We start from the raw sequence: 26,807 nt of genomic DNA, 5'->3' as shown, positions 1-26,807 counted from the left end.
TTTTTAAGATTTTTTAAGAAGGTTAAGATTCAGAATAGTGTGGACCATGTGCCCCATTGTGTAAAAAAGACATTAACAGAGTACTTGTAGATGCTTAGAGAATCCTTGGAAAGATACTGGTAACAGAGTGAGGCTCAGGGTATAGCTGGTTGTAGTGACAAAAGAATGGAGGTCTGAACTGAGGAAACTTTTCACTCACTGTCCTTCCATTCTATCTCATGCACATGGTAAAACAATCTTTTCCAATGAAAAGAATCAACAAAGGCAGTCTGAAAATATATATATTGCAAATGAACATAGATTAGAAGGAAACAAAAAATTATATCTGTTGAGTTAGCATGATAGAGCTGTAGGCACATGGTCACAGACTAGATCTTAACATAAAAAAATTAAATTAATGGAGAATTAGTGTAGGCGAATCACAAGTTGTTCTTTTCTTTAAAATGCTGTTTTAATGTTGCCATTGAAATAAATAAAAATTAGTGTGGGAGGAGAGACGGGGTATCTGAGGAATTAAGTGATAGAATTATAAATATGTTGTTCTAAAATGAATAAACAGGAGAAGAACGAGCCACAGAGAGCTTGCAAATGGTCCAGGGAGCAAGCAGTCAGCAAGAGGTGCCAGTGCATCTGTGCCTGGTAGGGTAGCTGGCCAGGACACACTGACTCCTCTCCTTGGGAACTCAAGGGTCAGACCTAGAGAACAAGAGAGGAGAAACTAGGGTGAAGTTAGAAGGTCTGGTTTGCAGATCCCAAAGAAAACCAGTTCTCTGGGGAGGATGGGTGGCAGGCACAGGGTGGATGAGAGACATCTAGATCCTGTAGATCTCAAAAGAGACACCTTCCCTAGGAGGACAGGGCTAAACTCTCTACTTGTGAGATGACTACTTTCGAAATTTTGATTTTTCATGCCTGTCAGTAAAAAACGAAAATTGAGAGGCTGGGTGTGGTGGCTCACGCCTATAATCGCAACACTTTGGAAGGCTGAGGAAGGTGGATTGCTTGAGCCCAGGAGTTCAACACCAGCCTTGGTAACATAGCGAAACCCCATCTCTAAAAAAAAACACAAAACATTAGCCAGGCCTTGTGACACGCACCTGTAGTCCCAGCTACTCGTGAGGCTGAGGTGGGAGGATCACCTGAGTCCGGGAAGTTGAGGCTGCGGTGAGCCGTGATCGTGCCATTGCACTCCAGCTTGAGTGACAGACACAGACCTTGTCTAAAAAAAAAAAAAAAAAAAAAAATTGGCCAGGTGCAGTGGCTCATGCCAGTAATCCCAGTACTTCGGGAGGCCAAGGCAGGCGGATCACCTGAGGTCATGAATTAAAGGCCAGCCTTACGAACATGGTGAAATCCTGTCTCTACCAAAAATACAAAAATTAGCCAGACTTGGTGGTGTGTGCCAGTAGTCCCAGCTACCTGGGAGGCTGAGGCAGGATAGTTGCTTGAACCCGGGAGGCAGAGGCTGCAGTGAGCCGAGATTGCACCACTGCATTCCAGCCTGGGTGAGACAGTGAGACTCTGTCTCAAAAAATATATAGATAGATAGATAGATGGATAAATATATTTAACCTGAAGTGCTTAATATTTTAAAAGCTATGTAGTTAAATATACTTCAAGATTTTCAAAAACTTGGTTTAACATTTTGGGATGTGATAAGCCAGAAGTATAGCTTCAAGTAATTTCATAACAAATGGGTGCTACTTTTTTTTTTTCTGAGATGGAGTCTTGCTCTGTTGCCCAGGCTGGAGTGCAGTGGTGCAGTCGCAGCTCACTGCAGCCTCTGCCTCTGGATTCAAGGGATCCTCCCACCTCAGCCTCCCAAGTAGCTGGGATTACAGGGATCCACCACCACGGCCGGCTAATTTTTGCATTTTTAGTAGAGACAGGGTTTCACCACGTTGGCCAGGCTGTTCTTGAACTCCTGACCTCAAGTAATCTGCCCACCTCAGCCTCCCAAAGTGCTGGGATTACAGGTGTGAGCCACCACACCAGGTTGGATGTTGCTTTTTTTTTTTTTTTTTGAGACGGAGTCTCACTCTGTCGCCCAGGCTGGAGTGCAGTGGCGCGATCTCGGCTCACCGCAAGCTCCACCTCCTGGGTTCACGCCATTCTCCTGCCTCAGCCTCTTGAGTAGCTGGGACTACAGGCACCCGTCACCATGCCCGGCTAATGTTTTTTTGTATTTTTAGTAGACACGGGGTTTCACCCTGCTAGCCAGGATGGTCTCGATCTCCTAACCTCGTGATCCGTCTGCCTCGGCCTCCCAAAGTGCTGGGATTACAGGCGTGAGCCATGGCGCCCAGCCTGGATGCTGCTTTTAACAGCTGCCATAGCTGAAGATACCTCACAAGGATACATAGATTCAAATGGAAGAAATATGTTAGTGGCATTGATTATGATTTAATCAATCATAATAGTCATTTTCCAACCCTATCCACCACCTGTGCTTTGGTTTTGGTTGAAATTGTGCATTGATTTTGTCAAATTTTTCTTGCAAACTCTGAAGCTACTGTACTTTTAATAGTTTTTAACATATAGCTCCTCTAAAATTCTTTGGAAGATTTAAAAATATAAAATTTTGTTCTCAAGATTTTAAAGATGCATCTGAAACTTTTTGTTGGCAAATGTTAACATTTTTGTAAAAAAAAAGAAAAGTCATATCACTATGGAAACATTTCCTAATATCCATCTTGAAAATGCCCTTTGCATAGCATGACTTTCTTTCGAAAAGTAGTTATTTTCTTATTTATTGTTACAACACCATCTTTACCTTGGAGAGACATGTTTGTCCTTGCAAAAATAGCCTCCAGGGAGGCCACTGGGAACTACTGTACTTGGCTTCAGAGATAAGGTCCTCAAATTTGAATCACTTGTCTTTTTCGTAGAAGAAAAATCCCAGTCATCTTTTTTTTTTTTTTTGAGATGGAGTCTCGCTCTGTCGCCCAGGCTGGAGTGCAGTGGCGCGATCTCGGCTCACTGCAAGCTCCGCCTCCCGGGTTCATGCCATTCTCCTGCCTCAGCCTCCCGAGTAGCTGGGACTACAGGCGCCTGCCACCATGCCCAGCTAATTTTTTGTATTTTTAGTAGAGACAGGGTTTCACTGTGTTAGCCAGGATGGTCTTGATCTCCTGACCTCGTGATCTGCCTACCTCAGCCTCCCAAAATGTTGGGATTACAGGCATGAGCCACTGCGCCCGGCCCAATCCCAGTCATGTTTAAGTTCTATTACTCTAATAAATGCTTTGTTTAGAAATAAACATCAAACCTCTATGTAGTAAGATATTTTCATCATCATTCCCTGAAATAGGCCAAGAGGATGAAATGGCTGAATAAATTTCATGCTCTTGGCCTATTTTTGTAACCTTACCTAAATTTAAAAAAAAAATTTATTTACACATTTAAGTTTTTACAAAATTTTCAGGGTTCATGTGATTATTTAATACATTCATATGTAAACCGAAAATAAAATTCTAAGCCCTCCAACTGACTAAGTGAACCCTGCTTCTTGGTCAAGGGGATTCCAAAGTAAACCTGAGAAACTGGTTCAGGCCATGACAGGCAAAAAGGCGCAGGACATGCCTCATTATATTCTCTTCCCTTAGGAATTCAGGCACAACAGACCAGCGTTAACATTAAGATAGAGACTTCAAGACAGACAAAACAGACTCTTTGTAGCAGTGAGACACCAGATGCTGACCTGACTCTAGTATAGCATCACATGACAGACAGCAGGCACTGAAAGAAATTGAAGCATTTTATTCCAAAATATATCTCTTTGACATATTTTGAAACAGCCCTGCAAAGCTGTCTCTTGTGGGGAAAATCTACATTCTATACAGGATCCCCTTCCTTTCCCAGGTCTTTTGCTGATCCAGGAGAGATTTAACTAAGAGTCTAGCACCTTTTACAGTCTGATGAGACATCTGCCACCTATTCTTTTTTTTTTTTTTTTTTTTTTTTTGAGACAGAGTTTTGCTCTTGTTGCCTAGGCTGGAGTGCAGTGGCGCGATCTTAGCTCACTGAAACCTCTGCCTCCTGGGTTCAAGTGATTCTCTCGCCTCAGCCTCCTGAGTAGCTGGGATTATAGGTGCCTGCCACCACATCCAGTTCATTTTCTTGTATTTTTAGTAGAGATGGGGTTTCATCATGTTGGCCAGGCTGGTCTCAAACTCCTGATCTCAGGTGATCCACCCACTTTAGCCTCCTGAAGTGTAGGGATTATAGGCATGAGCCACCGCCCCCGGCCTTGCCATCTATTCTCTCCGAAGCCTGCTACCTGGAGGCTTCTTCTACATAGGAAGAACTTTGGCCTGCACAACCGCCTATCTTAACCCATACGCTCCTTTCTATTGATTCCAGGTCTTTTTTTCTTTCCTTCTTTCTTTTTTTTTTAGATGGAGTCTCGCTGTCACCCAGGCAGGAGTGCAGTGGCACAATCTTGGCTCACTGCAACCTCTGACTCCCAGGTTCAAGCGATTCTTGTGCCTCAGTCTCCCAAGTTGCTGGGATTACAGGCACCCACCACCTCGCTTGGCTGTTTTTTTTTAGTAGAGACGAGGTTTCACCATGTTGGCCTGGCTGGTCTCGAACTCCTGACCTCAGGTGATCCACCTGCCTTGGCCTCCCAAAGTCCTGGGATTACACGTGTAAGCCACGACACCAGGGCTAATTCCATGTCTTTAGATAATAACTCTTTCAACCAATTGTCAATCAGAAAATCTTTGAATCCACCTTTGACCTGGAAGGCTGTCCCCAAGTTGATTGGTGTCTGCTTGTAACTTCTGTCCCCTTAAAAGGTGTAAAATCAGGCTGTAACCTACCTACCTTGGGTACATGTTTTCAGGACCTTTTGAGATTATGTCTCAGGCCTTGGTCACTCATATTTGGCTCAGAATAAAACTCTAAATATTTTACAAAGTTTGACTCTTTTCATCAACATATAATTTGTAAAACTCAAATCAGTGTAATTGGGATATCCTGAATTCCTTTTTATTCTAGTTAAAGCTACTGTTACCTGATATAATTTTCCCATAAACCATTGTTTTAACTAACAAAGGCATTGAATTGTGAAAAATACATCTTTTCTGGTACCTCTTTCTTTTAGTGACCTCACAAATAAATAGGTCTATTTCATTATTGAAACAGACACAAGCAAATATTCTTTTTTAAAAATCTTTTTTATTTAAAAAAGTTTTTACAAAAATAGAGATGGGGTTTCACCACGTTGACTTGGCTGTTATCAAACTCTTGGGCTCAAGTGATCTGCCCACCTTGGCCTCCCAAAGTGCTCGGATTATAGGCATGAGCCACCGTGCCTGGCCAGAATCAAGCAAATACTCTTAATTGGAACATGTGTGAAACAGCAGTACTTAAGTCCAACTGCACAGCAGATCTCCCCCACTACACTCTTTCTTTGAAACTTCAGCAATATTTCTGTGCATCTTCCACATCTGTGGATCTGTGCATCGGAATTTGCTGACAAAACCGTGCGTTTTATTTTGCAGCTATATTGTTTTCCATGTATTATTTTAGCTATTTTGACCACATCAGGAAGGCTGTTTTTCTACTGGTATGTAGCTTTTTACCTTAAGCAATTATGTTTTTAAAAACCCTCAAAACAGGCTCTTAAATATTCAGTTTGCTAAAATCCTGGACTAGATTTAGTAATACGTAATTTTAAACACTGCTAAAACATTTTAAACTATTTGTATTCACGTTGTGAATATTTAGATTTTTTTTTTTTTTTTTTTTTTTTTTGAGACGGAGTCTCGCTCTGTCGCCCAGGCTGGAGTACAGTGGTGCAATCTCCCCTCACTGCAAGCTCCACCTCCCGGGTTCACGCCATTCTCCTGCCTCAGCCTCCCGAGTAGCTGGGACTATAGACGCCTGCCACCATGCCCGGCTAATTTTTTGTATTTTTAGTAGAGACGGGGTTTCACCGTGTTAGCCAGGATGGTCTCCATCTCCTGACCTCGTGATCCACCTGCCTTGGCCTCCCAAAGTGCTGGCATTACAGGCGTGAGCCACCGCACCTGGCCGTGAATACTTAGATTTTAAATATCTTGCTAATTATAATGGTCTGATGTCGTCAAGTATTACCGTAAGGCACAATCTATGCTTAGGATGAGGTTTTTCTTTAATGCTAGTGGTTGTAAGTTTATATTTCACATAGTCCCCTGATGAATTTTATGTTTTTGTCTGACTTCTCAGTCTACATAGATTGTCACTGTTTTACTTCATAACTAGCACATGGTAGCAGGAAGAAAAGTGTTAACCCAGTCATTTCTTATTGTTTGCTTACACCTGCATTAATTGTAGTATTTTTAGGCCAGGAGCAGTGGCTCACTCCTGTAATACCAGCACTTCGGGAGGCTGGGATAGGAGGATCCCTTGAGGCCAAGAATTTGAGAACAGCCTGGACAACATAGTGAGACCCTCATCTCTGTATATTAAAAATAAAAATAAGAAATTTCTTTAGTTTTTCTGCCCATTTGGTAAAGGTTAACTCAGTTAAAACAAAATAATTTAATCCATAAACCCACTTCATCAGGTGAGCCTACATAAACTCCAGTCCCTTGACATAAGCCCAAAGTGGATTAAACAGGCCAGGCACCATGGTTCACACCTGTAGTCTCAGCTACTTGAGAGGCTGAGATAGGTGGATTGCTTGAGCCCAGGAGTTCAAGGCTGCAGTGAGCTTTGATTGTGTGACTGCACTTCAGCCTGGGGGACAGAAAAAAAAAAGAGGGTTGTATATCAACCAGTGAGGGGGCCTTTGTGGACCTTCTCCCCTTCCCTCAGCATATGTCATGGACTACACAGAAAATGGGACTCTCTGACATTCGATTGAACAAGGAAGCCAGTGTCAATCCATATCTAAATTATTGGTCAAACTCAATTTTTTTTAAAGATAAAAAATTTCTTGGGATACTGATAATTTTTCCTCTTACGCATGGATCTTTTCAGGCTTCTCACCTTAGCAACCACCATTCTAGAGCATGAACCATTTTCTGGTGACTTCTATGTAAGTTCTTTCTGCCCATTACACTGGTTCAGATGAGGACTTCACAGGAGTGGATATCTGGACTAAATAAAACCCTTGAGTCAGGGAAAAACCCAGACTTGCCATGGAATTTAACAGAGACATGTACTTAACAGAGCTTGAATTTTTATTTATTTATTTATTTATTTATTTATTTATTTATTTATTTATTTTTGAGACAGAGTCTCACTCTCTTGCCCAGACTGGAGTGCAGTGGCACGATCTCAGCTCACTGCAACTTCCACCTCTTGGGTTCAAGCAATTTTCCTGCCTCAGCCTCCCAAGTAGCTGGGATTACAGGCACGCACCACCACGCCTGGCTAAATTTTGTATTTTTAGTAGAGATGGGGTTTCACCGTGTTGGCCAGGTTGGTCTCCAACTCCTGACCTCAAGTGATCCACCTGCCTTGGCCTCCAAAAGTGCTGAGATTACAGGCATGAGCCACCCTGCCTGGCTAGAGCTTGAAAATTTAAGGCTATCCACTCCCCTCGACCCCATAATAGTTCAGGCCTCCTTTCAGGAATATTTGTGAAGATACATTTGTGATCCCAAGGTCAAAATTTCTTAATAAATCCCAGCCCCATTTAAACTGATCAACCTTATAGTCCAGCCTAAGGGCTGGGGAGACATGCACTTCAGCTATGGAACTAGCCCAGCCTTCCTCCCCAAAAGGACATGGCTAAATTTAAGTCAAAGAGACATTGCAAATGATAGAATCATCTTTCCTTTGGTGAACAAAGAGCCCTGAGGGATGAGTCAGCTATTACACCATCACTGCAGCCCTGGCATCCAAGTTTCTGTGACTCAAAGATAAGAGATCCATACAATTCAACATTGTTGCTCCATATAATTCAACATTGTTATTCCAAGTTATCAAAAAAGCCACTAGTAAGGCCAGGTCTGTAACACCAGCACTTTGGGAGGCCGAGGTGGGTGGATCACTTGAGGTCAAGAGTTCGAGACCAGCCTGGCCAACATGGTGAAGCCCTGTCTTTACTTAAAATACAAAAAATTAGCCGGGCATGGTGTGCACCTGTAGTCCCAGCTGCTTCAGAGCTGGAGGCAGAAGAATTGCTTGAAGCCGGGAGGCGGAGGTTGCATTGAGCCAACCAAGATCGTGCCATTGTGCTCTGTCCAGCCTAGGCGACAGCGAGACTCTGTCTCAAAAAAATAAAAAATGAAAAGGCCACTAGTATCAGAGCTTCAGAACATTTTAAACAAACTCTCATCCTCAAAATCTTTGGAGAAAGATCACATCTCAAAGAAGAATCCCATGAAGAAATCTATATAACTGTTTACAAGCTTTGTTTCATTTTACATTGTACAAGAGTTATATATTTGGGTCCTTAAATAGCAGATATTGTTGTCCTCCAGCAAGAGGTCACCTTTTGATATTGGTGCCCTCCAACACCAGAAGATGCAAGTGCAAGTCTGTTCATTTCTGTACTTGGCAAACCCAGGTGGAATGGGAGTGAAGTTCATAGGAACGGCTCACCTACTCATTGCAGTTGGTTACCTGCCTCTGCTTCCACAGTAACTAAGAAAGGGCCAAGGGCCAAAACAGGTGCCAAAGCCTGAAGTTCAAAAATCTCTGGAGGCGGCTGGTCGTGGTGGCTCAAGCCTGTAATCCCAGCACTTTGGGAGGCCAAGGTGGGCGGATCACAAGGTCAGGAGATCCAGACCATCCTGGGTAACACAGTGAAACCCCGTCTCTACTAAAAAATATACAAAAATTTAGTGAGGCGTGGTGGTGGGCACCTGTAGTCCCAGCTACTCGGGAGGCTGAGGCAGGAGAATTGCATGAACCCGGGAGGCGGAGGTTGCAGTGAGCGGAGATCGCGCCACTGCACTCCAGCCTGGGCGACAGAGTAAGACTCCGTCTCAAAAAAAAAAAAAAAAATCTCTGGAGAAGAAAAGAAAAAGTCATTTTGAGGGCATATGGTGCTCAAAACGAGAGAATAAAAATGTTCATAACGTATTTAGTACCCGGACAGAAAAGATAAAGTAGAAGTCAGGATTGCTGAAAATGGCCCAGGGGTGCCTATAGATAGACGGGTATGAAGTTGGACCAGTAACACTATAACCACACTAAGATGCTTTTATCTTTCTTCTCTGTATGGTTTACAATTACCATTACAATTCCCGAAAGTAGTGCTAAGAGTTTAAAAGCGAGTGTCTTATGTAGGTATTTGGGTTTTCCATCTTCCATGGCTCAAGTTAATCACCCAGGGGCTGTGCTGCCCCCATTCAGAAAGGTTGTGACCAGGGTACCAGAGGAGGAGCAGGTCACTGGGATAAAATTAAAGAGCATCTCTGGATCTGGCTCTGAAACCTCAATCCTCTTTAAATGATGGAAAGTCGCTCTTTTTATGGAATCTCTTCCCTCATAAAAACAAGTGGACCCTGAAAAGCAGCTGTGCATGTGGCTTTCAACAATGATCTGTGGGCTGCGACGGAGGGTGTGGCCAAGTTTGCCAGTTTTCTGAAAGAACTCACCCCACTGGCCATTGTAGTGTTGGAAATTGTCTTGCTGCTCACGCTTTCCTTAAAAGGCTTCTGATTCCAGAACAGAGTTAGAGAAACTGGGGACGAATAACTCCCCTCTGTCATCCATCACGAAGAGCTGAGCACAGGCGGATTTCTCAGATCAGCTCCTCATTCATTAGTGCGACTCCTGAGGGCCGAGGCTGTGTGTGTGAAGGGACTCGAATGGGGCACCTCCCAGGGCCACAGGAAAAAACACCAGTCACAGACAGGAGAGGATAGCTCAGATGTTGCCATTCAAGAGAGAGCTCTGAAGGCTGAAAACATCAGCCAAACAGCACGGCGGTGAAACACACACAGCCTGTGAATAATAAACTGGACTGGGGCTCCCAGCACTTTCTCTCACTGTGCTGGATTTCAACCACAAGATGGCAGGCGACGGCCCTCAGATCCTCACAGCTTGTCAGATGGCACTCCCAAGAGGTGAGGAAAGCAAGCTCCCACTGTCCTCTCCAATGGCCATCGCCACACTCTTAGGAGGCAGCTATAAGCTACACTCTTGTTGAGATGGAAGGTTCTAGATGTAACTATCCATTTTCAGAACAGGTAAAAACATAGATTTTCTATGTTTTTATGTAAATAATAAACTGTTAAAAAACCATCCTAATTTCATTAGTTATTTTTATTATTTTTTTTTTTTTGAGATGGAGTCTTGCTCTGTTGCCCAGGCTGGAGTGCAGTGGTGTGATCTCGGCTCACTGCAACCTCCGCCTCCCAGTTCAAGCGATTCTCCTGCCTCAGCCTCCTGAGTAGCAGGAACTACAGGTGTGTGTGCCACCATGCCCAGCTAATTTTTTGTATTTCTAGTAGAGATGGGGTTTCACTATGTTGGCCAGGCTGGTCTCAAACTCCTGACCTCAAGTGATCCACCCGCCTCAGCCTCCCCAAGTGCTGGCATTACAGGCATGAGCCACTATGCCCAGCCTCATTAGTTGTTATTTATGATGTTAAAGAAAACATTCTAGAATTTGAGTCAGAGTGCATGAATTCTAGGCGTCACTCTTCTCTAAGATGATACTTGACCCCAGGAAACCACCTCCTGAAGCCTCAGTTTCCACCTTGGTAGAGTGAGAAAACAGGACTTGGATGAACCCTGGGATACCTTCCAGAAACCAAGTCCTGGAGTGAAACAGCACGTGGAGACAGCAGTCTGAAAGGAATGAAGCGGGTCACGAACAAACAGTCCGTAATGCTTCACTTACACTTCATCCTTGGGGAATGGGCTGTTCCACATGGCAGGTTTTCCACATAATTGAATTTTAAATGCTGAAACTTGTTTTCGTTTTAACCGGTAAGGGAAATCTTTCTAAAGTGTATTACATGCTTCTCTGGCTTTTTAAACAGCAAGCTGAGTATAATTTCACCTTTCCTTAATGTCTCTAAGTCATGGTGATGACGACCTCTTACTATATATCCAGTCCTGCACAGAGCGTCAGGCACCTTTGAGCATATTCAGGTAGGCAGGACCCTTATGCTAAATGGCCCCAGAGACTACAGTATCAAGCTACAATTGGCAATTCTTTCTCTCTACCATCTCCTACCTACATCACTACCTGCAGTCATTTTTCCAAGTAACACCTTCTAGCAGCCTCTTGACACTGTTTAAAATCTGCTATAATGCAGACAGAACTCAAGGTTGCCATGGGTAACCAGAGCCTAAGCTTGCAACAACCCTAAATTTAATTTTACATGCAAGTTCAAGGCAGCGGGTACTGTGCTGAAGGTGACTTCTGACCAGGGCTGACATTCCACTGGTCCTCACAGCATGTCATACTTCCGTACCAATTGGCCTGTCGCCCTGAGCCCCCCAGCCCCCTCCTGCCAGCCCAGCATCCTGGCCCCTCTTCTAGGACCACACAGACTTCTCACACTCCCGGAACTCAAAGGTGCTGTCAGGCCCTGCAGGCTCCGGGACCCGGTTCTTGCATCCGCCAGCATCCCTTCCAAATGGGGGTCCCCATGCCACGCCACTCGCTCAATATTGGAATGGACCCCAGTGTCTGGACCAAAGATTATTCTTTGTCTTCCCTGTGGAGTGAACAGGCAGAGTTTGAGGCTCTTCTCTCTCCCTCAAACTCAAAGGGCTTTTCTCAGATGCATGCTGTGCTCTGGGTCCACGTTGCCTGAGGCTGACTGGGTGGGGTGTTACAAGTTACCTCTGGCTGAACAGCTACCATGTGCCAGATGCTGTATTCAGTACATTAGGTAAATCATCTGTCATCCACTCAACAACCCCTTTAGGGAAGTAGCAGCAACAGCCTGTGGCTGAGGTCACCTGCCCCCATCACACACCCACTAAGTAGGTCCAAAAGCCTGACACACCTCTCTCCGAGGCCCGCATTCTTTGCACTGTGCTCTGCTCACGTTTATTACTGTACAAAGATGGCCGGGTGCAGTGGCTCATGCCTGTAATCCCAGCACTTTGGGAGGCTGAGATGGGTGGATCACCTGAGGTCAGAGGTTCAAGACCAGTCTGGCCAACATGGTGAAACCCCGTCTCTACTAAAAATACAAAAAATTAGCCAGGCATAATGGCAGGCACTTGTAATCCCAGCTACTCAAGAGGCTGAGGCAGCAGAATCACTTAAACCCGGGAGGTGGAGGTTGCAGTGAGTCGAGATCGCGCCGTTGCACTCCAGCCTGGGCAACAAGAGTGAAACTCCGTCTTAAAAAAAAAAAAAAAAAAAACAAAGACGCCCAAAGTTTACATTCTGCAAAAATGCGTTTTAAGCGAAAAGACTTTTACTTTTCAGAAAAGACATTTGTTTCTGTTTTGGTGTGTGGGTTTTGTTTTAATTAATTCCATATTTTGCGACCAATTTGGAACAATCTGTCCTTAGGGAACAGATCTGGTTTACTTATAGAAAGCTAGGAAGTGACTGGCGTTACAAAGTATTCCTTTGTAGGAATGAATCTAGAAAACCTTCCCAGTTCTCCCTGCACCAAACAAGTAAGTAGAACATTCCAGAAAGTCCCCAGAGTGGATGTGATGGAGCTCACAAACAAAAACTTTCCTCCATGAGTTATCAGCTGTGCCTTCAAGATGGGGCAGGTGACATCAAACACCATGAATACTCCCCTTCCCAGAAAGTTCTCTAGAAGTTCCCACCAGGACAAAGCTGCTAACACTCAAAAGAATGAAGGCTTCCTAGGATTACTAGGCATCAGGAGTGCCAGCCAGTGAAAAGGTAGGAATCAGGAACGGGGTCTGTAATTTGGAGGCAGTCACAGGTTTAGGCTCTAAAGCGGGTCTGGGGTACAGAAGTTCTGTCAAACCCATGGCCTTGAATTTTTTGTTCTTTCTCAAAGGATGGACATTCCAAATCGACCCTAAACTAATTTTTGAAGTAAGCAAATCATGACCTCATCTTCCACATACTGTAACTGCTCCTTTCACAGTTAACACACACATGGTTCTCAGAGTGTCCTCATCAAAAAACATCCACAGTGCTCTAAAGTGTCCAGTGTCGGGGAGGAAATCATCCGAAAAATGGACTCCTATAAGGTGACAGGGACAAAATGTCACCTGTACTAGTAGTTTTCTAGGGCGACCACAAACCAGGAGGCTTAAGCAACAGGGATTTACTGTGTCACGGTTTTAGAGGTGAGACGCTGGAGCTCAAGGTGTCAGCAGAGCCAAGCTCCCCTAGTTTGGAGAGGCTAGGAAAGGGTTTGTACCAAGCCTCTCTCCCAGCTTCTGGTCGTTCCTTGGCTTTCAGCAGCATAACTCCAATCACACATGGTGTTACTCCTGTGTTGAGTCTGTGACCGAATTTGCCCTTTTTATAAAGACAACAGTTATCCTGGAATAGGGGCCAACCTACTCCACTAGGACCTCATCTTAACTAATTATTCCTGCAATGATCCTATTTCTAAATAAGGTCATATTCTGGGGGCTAGGACTTCAACAGATGAATTTTGGGGGGACATAATTCAACCCATAACATCATCTAAGGTAGTTTTGAATTCAAAATCAAACTCCTGACAGGGAGCAGAAGAGATTGCAAGAGAGTCCTTCATACGACAGCTGTATATGCTAGTGTGGACCATTTATCACGCTGGCAGGTAAGTTGGTGTGTTGACCCCTGAAACCCACTGCTTACAATTAAGAGTGAACAGGCAACCATCAACCGAGGAACCATTTGCTGGGAGGCAGAGGGGTACACTGGGGTCTGTCCAGAACTCTAATTTCTACTTACCACTTTTTAAGACAAAACTCACATAGGTAGGTGGGAAAATTTAGCACTGAAGGAAACAGTCAGTCACAAAGACTGAAAAGGAACACTTGAGAACATTCAAAACACTTTCAACTCCCTACTACCTAAATTGCAAAGTGCTTCTAGTCCCAAAGCTCTGGCTAGAGCTAAGTTTGCCAAAAGGAGTCTATATTACAATTGGGCTTCCTTTTATTTTATTTATTTTGAGACAGAGTCTTGCTCTGTTGCCCAGGCTGGAGTGCAATGGCGGCACAATCTAGGCTCACTGCAACATCCACCTCCTGGGTTCAAGTGATTCTCCTGCCTAAGCCTCCCGAGTAGCTGGGATTACAGGCATGCATCACCACACCTGGCTAATTTTTTGTATTTGTAGTAGAGGCAGGGTTTCGCCATGTTGGCCAGGCTGGTCTCAAACTCCTGACTTCAGCTGACCAACCCGCCTCGGCCTCCCAAAGTGCTGGGATTATAGGCATGAGCCACCACGCCTGACCGGGCTTCCTTGTACAAGATGAGGCAGGGGGCTTGTTTTCCTTGTCAGTTTGGGCAGGTAGAAAAGAAACCTTATAGTTTGTTCTTCATAAGTCATTTTCTTCCCTGGTGTCTGTGATTATACTGAGGAGGTATTTTGTGAAGATGTAAACCATCCATGAAATTATGCATCAGATCGCACAAGGACCAAAGTACAGATCTGGTGCAGAAGTTGAGGTAGTATCGCACAAGGACCAAAGTACAGATCTGGTGCAGAAGTTGAGGTCGTACAATGCAGTGGTTAGGAATACAGACAATGGAGCCAGAAGGACTTGGGTTCAAATCTAATTTTGCCTCTTACTTAGGTGACCGTGGGGAAGTGATATTCAGCCAAGGTTTCTCATCAAAGGCTGTCCTTTATGGAATTGTGGTCGCTATTAAATGAGACAGTGGCTGGCAGACATCCTCTACGGTAGAAACTGCTCAATAAATGGTACTTCTTGTAATTATTCAAGAGAAGTAGGGAGTGAAAAATCAAGCTAGTCTGTCTTGTTAACTCCTTGATTGTTATAAGGCAATAGGAGCACAGGACTTGAGGATTCCTTGCCTCATTACTTGATTCAATTTCAAGCTCTCTTTCATGAAGACCAAGTAATAGGTGTTGGCCTTCCCTTTCTCCTACCACTACATCTCAGTGGCTTCAGGATACACCCTCTTTCACCTGGCTTTTCATCGTCTAGCACACACACGGCTGCTTCAACACAGAAAGGAACTTCAAAGTCATGACTGCTGACCACTAAACAAGATTTTACTTCCTCAGCTGTGAAAGGTTTCCAGAAGCCCAGCGTTTTCATTATATGTTCTTATTTTCTGTATCTTTTTTTTTTTTTTGGACGCAGGGTCTTGCTGTGTTGCCCAGGCTAGAGTACAGTGGTGCAAACATGGCTCACTGCAGCCTCGATCGACCTCCTGGGCTTAAGCAATCCTCCCACCTCAGCCTCTCGAGTAGCTGGGACTACAGGTGTGCACCACCATGCCCAGCTAATTAAAAAAAATTTTTTTATAGAGATGGGGACTTGCCATGTTGCCCAGGCTGGTCTTGAACCCCTGGGCTCAAGCAATCTTGCCATCTCGGCCTCCCAAAGTGCTGAAATTACAGGCGTCAGCTACCTTGCCCCTATTTTCTGTATTCTTGATGCTCTGAGATTTGGAGTCTTGAACATCGACAGGCTGCCCCTCCCAGGGGTGGCTGATTCCTAAAGATAGCAAAGGACTCCCTTGTGAGTAGAGCTTTAACATACAAACCAACCAACCCAGAGCCATACCCAATTATCTCCTTTATCAAACTCACACACCAAGCCAATATTCTCCCTGCCTCAAATCACTCCAGGGCCAGACACCGGGACAACTAAGGACCATATAGTCCGGAGCCTACTGAAATTATTCAAACTATCCAATCCTAAGCACACTCAGCCACCTACCCTGCCTCCTCTGTTCCTTCCCATGAAAACCTCAATAAAGCCTATGGAGCCCCATGGGTGCAGTGACTCACACCTGTAATCCTAACACTTTTGGAGGATGAGGTGGGAGGATCACTTGAGGCCAGGAGTTTGAGACCAGCCTGGGCAACATAGTAAGATACCATCTCTACAAAAAAAAAAAAAAAAAAAAAAGCCAGATGCAGTGGTGCACACCTGCAGACACAGTTACTAGAGAAGCTAAGGTGGGAGGATCCTTTGAGCCCAGGAGTTCAAGGCTGCAGTGAGCTATGACTGTGGCTCTGCACTCCAGCCTGGGTGATAAGAGTAAGACGCTGTCTGCAAAAAAAAAAAATAAAATAAAATAAAATAAAGGCTCTGGGCCATGCTCTCCTCTCTCTTCTCTGCCTCCTCACTGACCCCTGCACTTCCCTGTGTAGCCCTATGTGGTGTGGCGTGCCTCCTGTTTCTACAGATCTGAGACTTCGTGACAGCCATTTCCATGTGTGCGCGTCTTTTTTTTTTTTTTTTTTTTTTGAGACAGAGTCTTGCTCTGTCGCCCAGGCTGGAGTGCAGTGGCGCAATCTCGGCTCACTGCAAGCTCCGCCTCCTGGGTTCAGGCCATTCTCCTGCCTCAGCCTCCCAAGTAGCTGGGACTACAGGCACCCGCCACCACGCCCGGCTAATTTTTTGTGTTTTTAGTAGACACGGGGTTTCACCATGTTAGCCACGATGGTCCCGATCTCCTGACCTTGTGATCTGCCCGCCTCGGCCTCCCAAAGTGCTGGGATTACAGGCGTGAGCCACGGCGCACGGCTCATGTGTACATCTTTTACCATATCTGATTAAAACAAATCTCAGGTATGTTATAGAACAGCCAGTTGTAACAATTAACGAATCCCACTGGTCTATTCCCTGACATTTTCTCCTATTCCTATTTCCTAAGCTCCTCAGCTTCAGCTATTTGAGTCCAGATACCAAGAGGTCACACCCATCCAAGCATTTCTTTCGGAGTGCCCATAAGTGGAGTGTTGCACCGAATAGGACATTTGGCTGGGAGTCAGAGACGGAGCCTGAGCCTCGGCTCTGCCAGTTATCACTGCGGCATCCCAGGAACACCACTAAACCTCTATGGGCTTCTGGAACAATAACACTAGCTCAGATAGATAAAAAAGTGTCTCACAGATTCACCCCTAGTATTTTAGCATAGGCAGCTACAGTGAACCTCCCTCCCACCCCAATACCACCATCCCAACAAACTTACCTAGGGTCCCAAAGCTAGTTGCTAGAAGACCTTGGAGAGAACCTGGAATCCCAAACCCAGTCCACTGCTCCCTCCATCACACCACATGTGATCCTTCTTCAGAGCTTCAATAAAGATTCCAGTTCTATGTTCCACCTTCTGTCATGACCCTGGCCCATCACCTTCTATTCCTCTTAATCTTTCTTTGCAAAACTGGGCATCATCCTGTCACTCCCCCAACAAGTAAATGAAAATATCAAGGAATCCTCCATTGGTAGCTGGAAAGTCATCTCATCCCAGGGGTAGATAGGTTCTTAGAGGCTGGGAAAGAAAACTTTGCCTCCTAAAGACTCCAGCAACCTCCCAAACACTCTCCATTATGGTAGTAATGATGATATTAATACATATAGACTACTACTTACTAGACATAGTGCTGAGCCCTTTATATGTACTATTTAATCATTTAGTTATTGGCATCAACAGTCTTATGATTCCCATTTCACACATGGGGCATCTGAGGCTAAGAGGTACAATTTTCCCAAGATCAACCAGCTAGTAAAGGGAACCCAAGGAGGCAGCCCCAGTTATCTGTTCTGGAGCTGGAGCTCCTGACTACTTCGTCCTCCTGCTGGATGTCCCCTCCCTGATCTTCCTTCTACCTCTCTATCCAAATCAGCTTCTTTCCAACCAGATAGCTGCAAACGGTAGGGGCTCTTAGGGACCACTTTCAAAGAACTATCTCCAGCTCCATGGCAATCCCCACTTCTAACCCTGGACCCAGCCTCCAGGAAGCTGAGTCACTTTTTCAGCTCCCTGCAGCATCTTGAGCCTGGTGGTGGTCAGCGTTGCTCCTTTTCTGAGAACAATCTCTAATCCCAAATAAAATCATTTCATCCCTCCTTGAAAATGAGTGGCTTTTCCCAGTAACGGCCAGTCAGGCACCTAGCCATTGGCTAAAAGCATCTCTGCAGTTGAAGGGGCAAACCAAAGGAAATACTGGTGAGAGTGTCTACTGCATAAGTCCTCACACCTGTGAGCCAGCTCTGTGCTACTTCCTTTCCATGTACTGGATCATTTGAATTTGGACCATGTTGTATGTGCCCAATGACTGCTTGTTGACCCTCCACATCCAATCTCCATTCTTCTCCACCCTGCACTTTGCACCAGGGCACTGACACATATAGACAAATCAATGGACTCCCCTGCCCCTGGCTGGTTTCCACTGATGGGAGGCTCTGACACTGGAGGGAGGATGAAGATTAAGGTCAAGGTATTTCTGCTCTGGTTCTCTCCTTGCAGAGTCTCCTTGGGTGAGCTGTCTCCATCATCCAAAGGTCACTACGTTTCTCAAGGTGGCCTTCTCTCCATGATTCTCTCCTTCTAGGACATAGGAGCCTTACTCCCAGGAGCCCCTGAAAGCTTGACAAAATTCATGGATCTCACTCAGAATATCCTCAAATTCTCTTTCCCAGTCTCTTTCCTATATACCTATCATTAAAACCCTGATGTGTAGTGAAGGGTTAACTCACCAGGGGTGGGGTATTGAGACCATGTGCATTCCAAAGAAAGGACTGGCTCCTGGGAGATAAGATCTAACCCCTCAGAATATCCTGCTTGACAAGAGTGTCTTTGTATACCTGGGGGTGTTTGGCCTTGCCAGAGAGTTTATGCTAAGAATGTGACTTAATGGTAGAAGACTTGGGTCATGTGGCATTAGTTTGACCTCTGGAGGGACTGGAGAGGAGTAGCTAAGCTCAGCCACACAGGTACTCCATGTTTACATGACCCACCCCCAAGAAAAAACCTTGGACACCAAGATTTGAGTGAGTGTCCCTGGTTGGCGTCAAACATCATTGCTGGGAGAACTGAGCACCGTCTGCACAACTCCACTGGGAGAGACAACTGGAAGCTTGTGCCTGGTCTCCACGGACTCTACTCTCTGTGTCTTTTACATTTGCTGATGTTTATCTGTGTCCTTTCGGTGTAATGAACTGAAACTAGAAATATGACTGCTTTTCTGAGTTTGTGAGTCCTAGTTAATCACTGAACCTGAGAACGGTCTTGGGGCCCTTGGGGTCTTGTTCCCTGATTCACCTGGGAAACACCAAGACAGTCCAATAACTTAATATGGTGGTGGGTGGCCGTGTGGGTAGAAAACAGAAATATGCTCGAGAGTATTCAATGCATTCAGATAAGATCAAAGTGGATCTTCCAGGGTGGGGCTTCTGGACTGTGAGTCTGGGAGCCTCACGGTTGCTGGGACTAAGGTGATATGGGATAGGCAGATGAAAACACATCCAAGACCCAACCTTTGGTGCTCCAGTTGAAGATGTGATGCTGCGTTGAATGGATGAGGGGGTTTAAATGAGACATTTCTTATGCCATCAGCTTCTTATTGGCAGGATTCATAAACCTCTGCAGCTGCAGATCTGGGAACCACCAGGTTCCCGTGTCCAGCCCCTGTGCCAGCAGGCATTCCCCCTACTTACCTGGCCCCACTGACATCAACTCCAACCATCAGCTGCCCATTCAGTGAGAGGATCTCATCCCGCAGTCGGACCTTCCCACTCTTCCCTGCTGGGCTGTTCTTCCTCAGCTCTGTCACCCAGATGCAGCCCACATCCAGCACAGGACCCTGGTGGGTTTTCCTCTTCTTGCCCCCCCTGCGCTTTTCACCATAGTCCCCGAAAACAGGGATGTTCCCAAAACTCAGGCCCACAGTCTCTGTGTCCCCCAGCTCCTTGGTGAGGTACACAGTACAGATCTCCATTTCGGGGGGGCTGTGATCAGGTGGGACCGTACTCTCATCCACAGCAAAGTTCAGCTGGATGTACTCCTGCAGCTTCTGGATGGCCGCCTGGCAGAGCCGCTGCTCCGGCCCATCCCCACCTTCCTGCAGGCTGTTCTGCAGCCACTGGTAGAGGAGGGGCAGGTGCAGCACGGCATTGTCCTGGGTGATGGGCATGGTGCTCACTCCCAGACACCAGCATCATCAGAGGTCTTGCTCCTGGGGGCCAGACCCCACAGGGCCCCACGTCCCCTGGGGTCCCTGGCCATCATCAGCTTTGCCTGTGTTCATGTTCAGGCTGGCAGATGAGCCTAGGGACACCTACTCGAGACTATGCTGTTTGCCTTGGCAGGAGGAAGCTAGGACCCAATTAGAACAACTGTGGAACAATGGCACTGGAGTGCTCAATGAGGGAAGGAAGGAAGTGTCTAACAAGTCCCTGCCAGGTTCATTTCACAGCAGGACCCATGCAAATGACACAGGAATGGAGGATCCCTCCAGCAGTGGCCGTGTGTCCTTCCCTGGGCTCATTCACACCTGGGAGAGGAAGAGGAAAACACAAAAAGCTCCAGTTACAACAGTGAGCCTTCTCACCTAGAAAACATAGCCTCCTGTGTTACAGAAGGACCATGTGTACTTTCCAGGCACCAAGCACAAACCCAGAACCTAACGCTTCCCCATTCCCCCGTGTGGCTACCTCCATGCTGTATGGACACTCCCTTCTCTCAGACAGACGCCTCTGGAACACTGGCCTTCTCCAGGAAGTTTCCTGGATCAGCAGAGAAACCAGATGACTTGGCCAAGACAACCCTCACCAACATACTATCAAACTCACACCCAACCAGGAGGCTGTGTGACAAGACCCTGTGGAAGGCTGTGGAAGGATCTGCATATATTTAAAATCTTACACTCCTAAAAAAAGAAAATCTATGTTGATTTGCCTTGGTCAGCCCAGCTGTACACACAGGAAGGCTCTCCATTCCAGAAATCTGTTCTGACAACACTACCCAGAGAAGAAAGATCCGATCAACACCATGGAGAGATCCCGCCTCCGTCCCAGGGCAACACCATTCCTAAACTTCGCCATCCTGTAGATTCAGAGGGAAGTCTGGCTCTTTGCAGCCCAGGTTTTAGTATCATCTCTACATTTCCTTTGGTAAATGGTTAAAACTGACTTATTTTCAGGCCAACCTAAAAGCCATCCCCTCCAGAGGAATGTTTCTCCAAATGCCTGGGCGAGAAGACAGGTGCCTTCTTTGCCTTGCTTTTAAACACATTGAATACAGTGGTGACACCAGTCAGCAGACAGCAGGGCCAGCGGCTCCCACCAGAGCTAAAGCCTCACACTCCCTCTGAATTCTGCACGGTGCCTGGTACATATTAAGTCCCCAGTGAAAGGTTAATTCAATTCTACTGCCAACTCGCCTTCTCCACCAAAGAAAAATTTCACCTCCATTCTCCATAAACATAGAAAAGTGATCCCTTTCACGCTCTTCTCTGAACTTCACTTTCTCCCAGAGAAAATCAATATAAACCGTGCCATCCAACGTGGAAAACATTCTCCAGCCTTCTCAGGAAGTGATTTAACAAGGAACAATAATGCATGGGAGAGGTGTCAGAAGCCATGTCAATAATAAATGACCTTATTACTCAGTAACCAAAAAGAAATTTCCAATATAGCGTGCTTTGCGTTTCCAAAGAACTTGAGTGCCAGCTATTAATTGGTTCCAAATAAATCAAAAGCTTAGCAAATATCATCTATATAATCACATGGTTGTTAAAAAGAAATGCAAGGCTGGGCGCGGTGGCTCACACCTGTAATCCCAGCACTTTGGGAGGGTTAGGCGGGAGGATCGCAAGGTCAGGAGTTCGAGACCAGTCTGGCCAACATGGTGAAACCCCATCTCTACTAAAAATACAAAAATTAGCTCGGTGTGGTGGCAGGCGCCTGTAATCCCAGGCGTGTGTAATCCCAGACAGGGTTTCACTCTGTTGGCCAGGCTGATCACTGTCTTATTCATCAATATATTCACTACTCCAGCACAGCACCTACCACATCGTAGACTCCTAATAATTTATAAGACATTTTAAAAGATCCTTTACATTACAATTTTAACAGCCTGTGATTCAGGATGTTAGTCACAGTTGAGATGGCTCCATACATATAAAAACAGTAAATATCAGGCTGGGCACAGTGGCTCACGCCTGTAATCCCAGCACTTTGGGAGGCCGAGGCGGGCGGATCACAAGGTCAGGAGATCAAGACCATCCTGGCTAACACAGTGAAAGCCCGTCTCTACTAAAAAAAAAAAAAAAAAAAAAAAAAAAAAATTAGCTGGGTGTGGTGGCGGGCGCCTGTGGTGCCAGCTACTCGGGAGGCTGAGGCAGGAGAATGGCGTGAACCCGGGAAGCGGAGCTTGCAGTGAGCCGAGATCTCGCCACTGCACTCCAGCCTGGGCGACAGAGCCAGACTCCGTCTCAAAAAAAAAAACAAAAAAACAAAAAACAAACAAAAAAAACCCCGTAAATATCTTGGTCAAGATGCTCTTTAAATAAGTCTGATTGAGGAAAACCAAACTGAAGAGTAGTAGGAAATGTTTTCCTGGTGTCGATTTGCACTCATTTGATTCATTCAGCAAGTATTTATCGAACATTTATCAAGTCCTTGAACTTGGCACTGGTTGTATACCAGCAATAAGGCAAATTCCTTGCCCTGTAGGAATTCATAGTCTAGTGGGGAGATACATAAATAAACGGAAATTAGTGTGTAATAGGTCTGCGATAACACCTCTCCCGCTCCCCTTCCGTTTCGTGGGGATGGTCCAGAGCTTGACATCTCACCCACGCTGGGACAATCAGGGTTCTTCCCCGAGACCTCAGTACTGCGACTCTGAAAGAGTCCTAGTTTCTACCCTGTGGCAGGAGTCATAGCTTTTGAACTAACGAACTTTTGAACGATTCTATCTCCTGTGGGGATTGAGTAGCAAAGAAAGTCATCCTGCTAAGAAATAGAGAAGTTGATCGGTGGCGGGCAGAAGCGCAGGACCGGGAGAGAGCGCCCCTGGGTTCCCCACAGCTTTCCCGTCCTCACTTTCCGCCATCCTGGACGGGGCTGCATTGCTGCCCTCGCCCTAACCAGAAAGACAGCATCGATCCTTACAATAAATTACATTGTAAAATTTTGACGACTTTAAAATGAAAGAAAAAAGGTAAAGCAAAATGAACCTAAACAAAACTTTAAATGAAAATAAACTTTACCTTGAGTTGTTTTCCACTCTTTGCAACTCGAGTTGTTAATTACTACTTTGGAAGTTAGTGAAGCTGATTGGCTCAGCTCGGATCTGATGTCCAATCACTGTTGGCCAAGAGGGTGGGGCCACAGGATAGCAACAGGGCCACTGAGAGCCCACCCTCAGGCCCTAGAAGAGGGTGGGAGGGATGGACAGGGAAGCAGTTTTCAGAAGAGGAAAAATTGTTGGAAATACACGGACACCCTCAAAGACACTTAGTCTTATTCTTAGGTGTCCATGGGCTACACAGCCTTTCAATCCCATACCTATAATTGAGGGCTTTCCAGTAATCCTTCCAGTCCTTTATTCTATCAACCCATTTGCCTGGGATTTTTCTATAAACAAGGGAAGTAGAAGCATCAATATCCACTCGCGATGATTTGAGATGATTCAGGGCGTAAGAAAAGACAGAGATGTTGCAATGCTATGAAAAGTGTGGTTGTTCCACAAGATCCAATAAAACACTCCAGTGTGCAAAACATTGACTCAGGGAAGATACAGAACAGAAATCTGCAGTTAGAAATACTGACCTCCCTGGATGGCTAGTCTGTGCAAAGGCCTACAAGCTTCCCATCCTGAAGATCAATCCATCTCAACAGTGAGCACAATTTTTGGACATGGAGGTTCACTGCAACAGCCCAGTCCATTTTTGTGTATCATAAATAATTCTCCAATTAGATTGCCATCTCAAGCAAATAGCTGTGATAATTTAAATTAATTTTGAATCGCTTGAAGCTGCTAGCCTTAGCATTCAAAATAAATGCTTCTGTTACTGAGATAATTTACTGATATGGTGTTAAAATCTACCAACTTTCTTGGATCCTGTCTCAGCTAAGCCATGCATTCTCAGTAGGTGACTTTACTCACAAGGGGGTGAAAATTAGTTGAGGGAGGCAAAAAAAGTCTTAGATGCTCTAATGGTTAGCAGATCCTCCTCCTCCTACCAAAGCTCGATCCTACCCAACAAAATCTTATTCCTTAGTATTTATTTTCTCATGTTACAGAGAAGTTAAATTTAATCTTTCTCCAGGCAGGGATGTGAGGACAATAAAAGGGTTGAGAACCAATGAACTAACTGAAGCTAATCATCTTCTATAGGCCTAGGGTCACCCGAAATTCAGAGCCTAGATCCTTAACGTGGCTGGGGGTATAAAAGGATCCTCTGGTTTATCTAGACCTTGCCTTAAAATCAGATTCACACCGGGCTGTCATGTACTAGCTCTCCCTTCCAGATGTCCTGGATTCTAGACGTTCTCCTATTCTGACCTCTGCTAAATTCCAAGTTCTTCGACCTTCACCTAATCTTCCTATGCTCTTCTCACTTTTAGAAAATGCTATCATTTTAAAAGGAAACTAACTTTGTAAACACCTGCTATGTACCCACAAAAATTAAAAATAAAAAAAAATTTTTTAAAAGAAACCAACTATGGGCTGGGCGTAGTGGTTCATACCTGTAATCCCAGAACTTTGGGAGGCCCAGGCGGGCAGATCACCTGAGGTCAGGAGTTTGAGAGCAGCCTGTCCAACATGGTGAAACCCCTGATCTCTACTAAACAAAATACAAAAAATTAGCCGGGAGTGGTGGTGGGCGCCCGTAGTCCCAGCTACTCGGGAGGCTGAGGCAGGAGAATGGTGTGAACCCGGGAGGCGGAGCTTGCAGTGAGCCGAGATCGTGCCACTGCACTCCAGCCTGGGCGACAGAGCAAGACTCCTCCATCTCAAAAAAAAAAAAAAAAAAAAAAGAAAGAAAGAAACCAACTATGATTAAATATCTACTATTAATTCATTCAACAAATGTTGATTGAGTGTCTATCATGTGCTGGGTCCTGAACAAAACAATGTCCCAGAAAGCTTCTTGAAGCCTGTGTTCTGAAGATGGTGAATTATTAAACAAATGCAAAACACTATGACGTCAGATGGTGACAGTACTGTGATGGTAACTATGGTAATGTCAGAGGATAGCGAGAAGGTGACATTTGAGAGATTGAAATTGTGCCCCAAAGAATTAAAGAAACCAATAACAGAAATTTTTGTGTTGGTAGGATGACAGATTTTTTTTTTAAATTAGTAACTTGCTGAAAACTAAAACTCCCTGCACATGAGCTGTAAGAACTGGCTGAAATTGCTTCAAACTAATATGGCCACCTGGAGTTTGCACAGAATGAGCACGCTGAAATCACAGCCTGAATTTCCACATTTCATACTAACTCCGCCCAAATTTGCACACATGACCCATGAGTTAGCACGAAGAGACAACTGTGCGTGCCCAAGGGACTTTCCAGACCTCCCGTTTCCTTCAACTTTCAATATAAAGCTTTTTAAAAATTTTTTGAGACAGTTTCACTCTGTTGCCCATGCTGGAGTGCAATGGCGCGATCTGGGCTCACTGCAACCTCCGCCTCCCGGTTTCAAGCGATTCTCAGCCTCAGTCTCCCAAGTAGCTGCGCTTACAGGCGCAGGCCACCATGCCCAGCTAATTTTTTGTATTTTTAGTAGAGATGGGGTTTTGTCATGTTGGCCAGGCTGGTCTCGAACTCCTGATCTCAAGTGATTCGCCCGCCTCAGCCTCCCAAAGTGCTGGGATTACAGGTATGAGCCACTGCATCCAGCCATTATAAAGCTTTTCTAGTGCATGGGGCAGTCAGCCTCTCTTGCTCAATAACAAGTCCTGAATGAAGTGAGACACTGAGCCACAAGAATATCTGTGGGAAGGTTGTTCTGGGCAGAGGGAACTGCAGGTGCAAAGGCCCTGGGGTAAAGACTTGCCTGGCTGCCCGAGGATGAAAGAGGAAAGATGTAGCTACAGAAGAAATGAGGGGGAAGTGCCCCCACTCTGCTAGGAGCTTCCTTGTTTTCTTCTTCTGTTCCCCCACCCCCCACCCCACAATCCTCACAACCACCTTATAAAACAAGGATGTCTGGCCCTATTTTATCAACATTGGCTAATGTTTTCTGAGCATAACTGTGTGTGAGACACTGTTCTAAATAAGCACCTTTGGCCGGGCCCCAGTGGCTCACGCCTGTAATCCCAGCACTTTGGGAGGCCAAGGTGGGCGGATCACCTGAGGTCAGGAGTTCGAGAGCAGCCTGGCCAACATGGTGAAACCCCATCTCTACTAAAAATACAAAATTAGCTGGTTGTGGAGGCGCACACCTGTAATCCCAGCTACTAGGGAGGCTGAGGCAGGAGAATTGCTTGAACCGGGGAGGTGGAGGCTGCAGTGACCTGAGATCACACCACTGCACTCCAGCCTGGGCAAGACAGAATGAGAGTCTGTCTCAAATATAATAATAATAATAAAATTAAATTAAATAAGCACCTTCCATGGATTACCTTATTTAACTGCTACAGTGGTGCTGCAGGGAGACACTGTTAGTATTCCCCCTTTTATAGGCCCAGATAAATAATGGAATCAAAGGTTGGGTGCAGTGGCTCATGCCTGTAATCCCAGCACTTTGGGAAGCTGAGGTGGGCGGATCACCTGAGGTCAGAAACTCGAGATCAGCCTGGGCAACACGGTGAAACCCCGTCTCCACTAAAATACAAAATTAGCTGGGCATGGTGGCATGCACCTGTAATCCCAGCTTCTTCGGGAGGCTGGGGCATGAGAATTGCTTGAACTCCGGAGGCAGAGGTTGCAGTGAGCTGAGACTGTGCCACTGCACTCCAGCCTGGGCCACAGAGTGAGACTCTGTCTAAAAAAACAAAACAAAACAAACCATAATAATAGAA

At 45.5% G+C, this 26,807-nt stretch overlaps 1 protein-coding gene across 6 annotated transcripts in view, besides 1 other annotated feature; it reads right to left on the bottom strand.

Annotated features, from left to right (window-relative positions):
- Positions 1–26,807, bottom strand: part of PDZD2 (PDZ domain containing 2) — a 471,802-nt gene that overhangs the window by 291,723 nt on the left and 153,272 nt on the right. For all 6 annotated transcript variants that reach the window (XM_005248269.5, NM_178140.4, XM_011513992.3 and 3 more), the window contains one exon: positions 19,486–20,321. In XM_005248269.5, coding sequence (XP_005248326.1) covers positions 19,486–19,961 — 476 coding nt within the window. In that variant the 5' untranslated portion in view covers positions 19,962–20,321. The remainder of the gene's footprint in view (positions 1–19,485; positions 20,322–26,807) is intronic.
- Positions 19,943–20,444: an enhancer, noted in NCBI's record as "H3K4me1 hESC enhancer chr5:31798873-31799374 (GRCh37/hg19 assembly coordinates)". NCBI's record gives its function as "activates a minimal SCP1, AML or CMV promoter by ChIP-STARR-seq in primed H9 embryonic stem cells {active_cell/tissue: H9 hESC(primed)}" and the evidence as "EXISTENCE:reporter gene assay evidence [ECO:0000049][PMID:30033119]".

The sequence above is a fragment of the Homo sapiens genome, chromosome 5 (genome assembly GCF_000001405.40).
Source record: "Homo sapiens chromosome 5, GRCh38.p14 Primary Assembly".
NCBI lineage: Eukaryota > Metazoa > Chordata > Mammalia > Primates > Hominidae > Homo > Homo sapiens.
The sequence above is the reverse complement of the archived record's forward strand: the minus strand, read 5'-3'. Positions and strand labels throughout refer to the sequence as shown.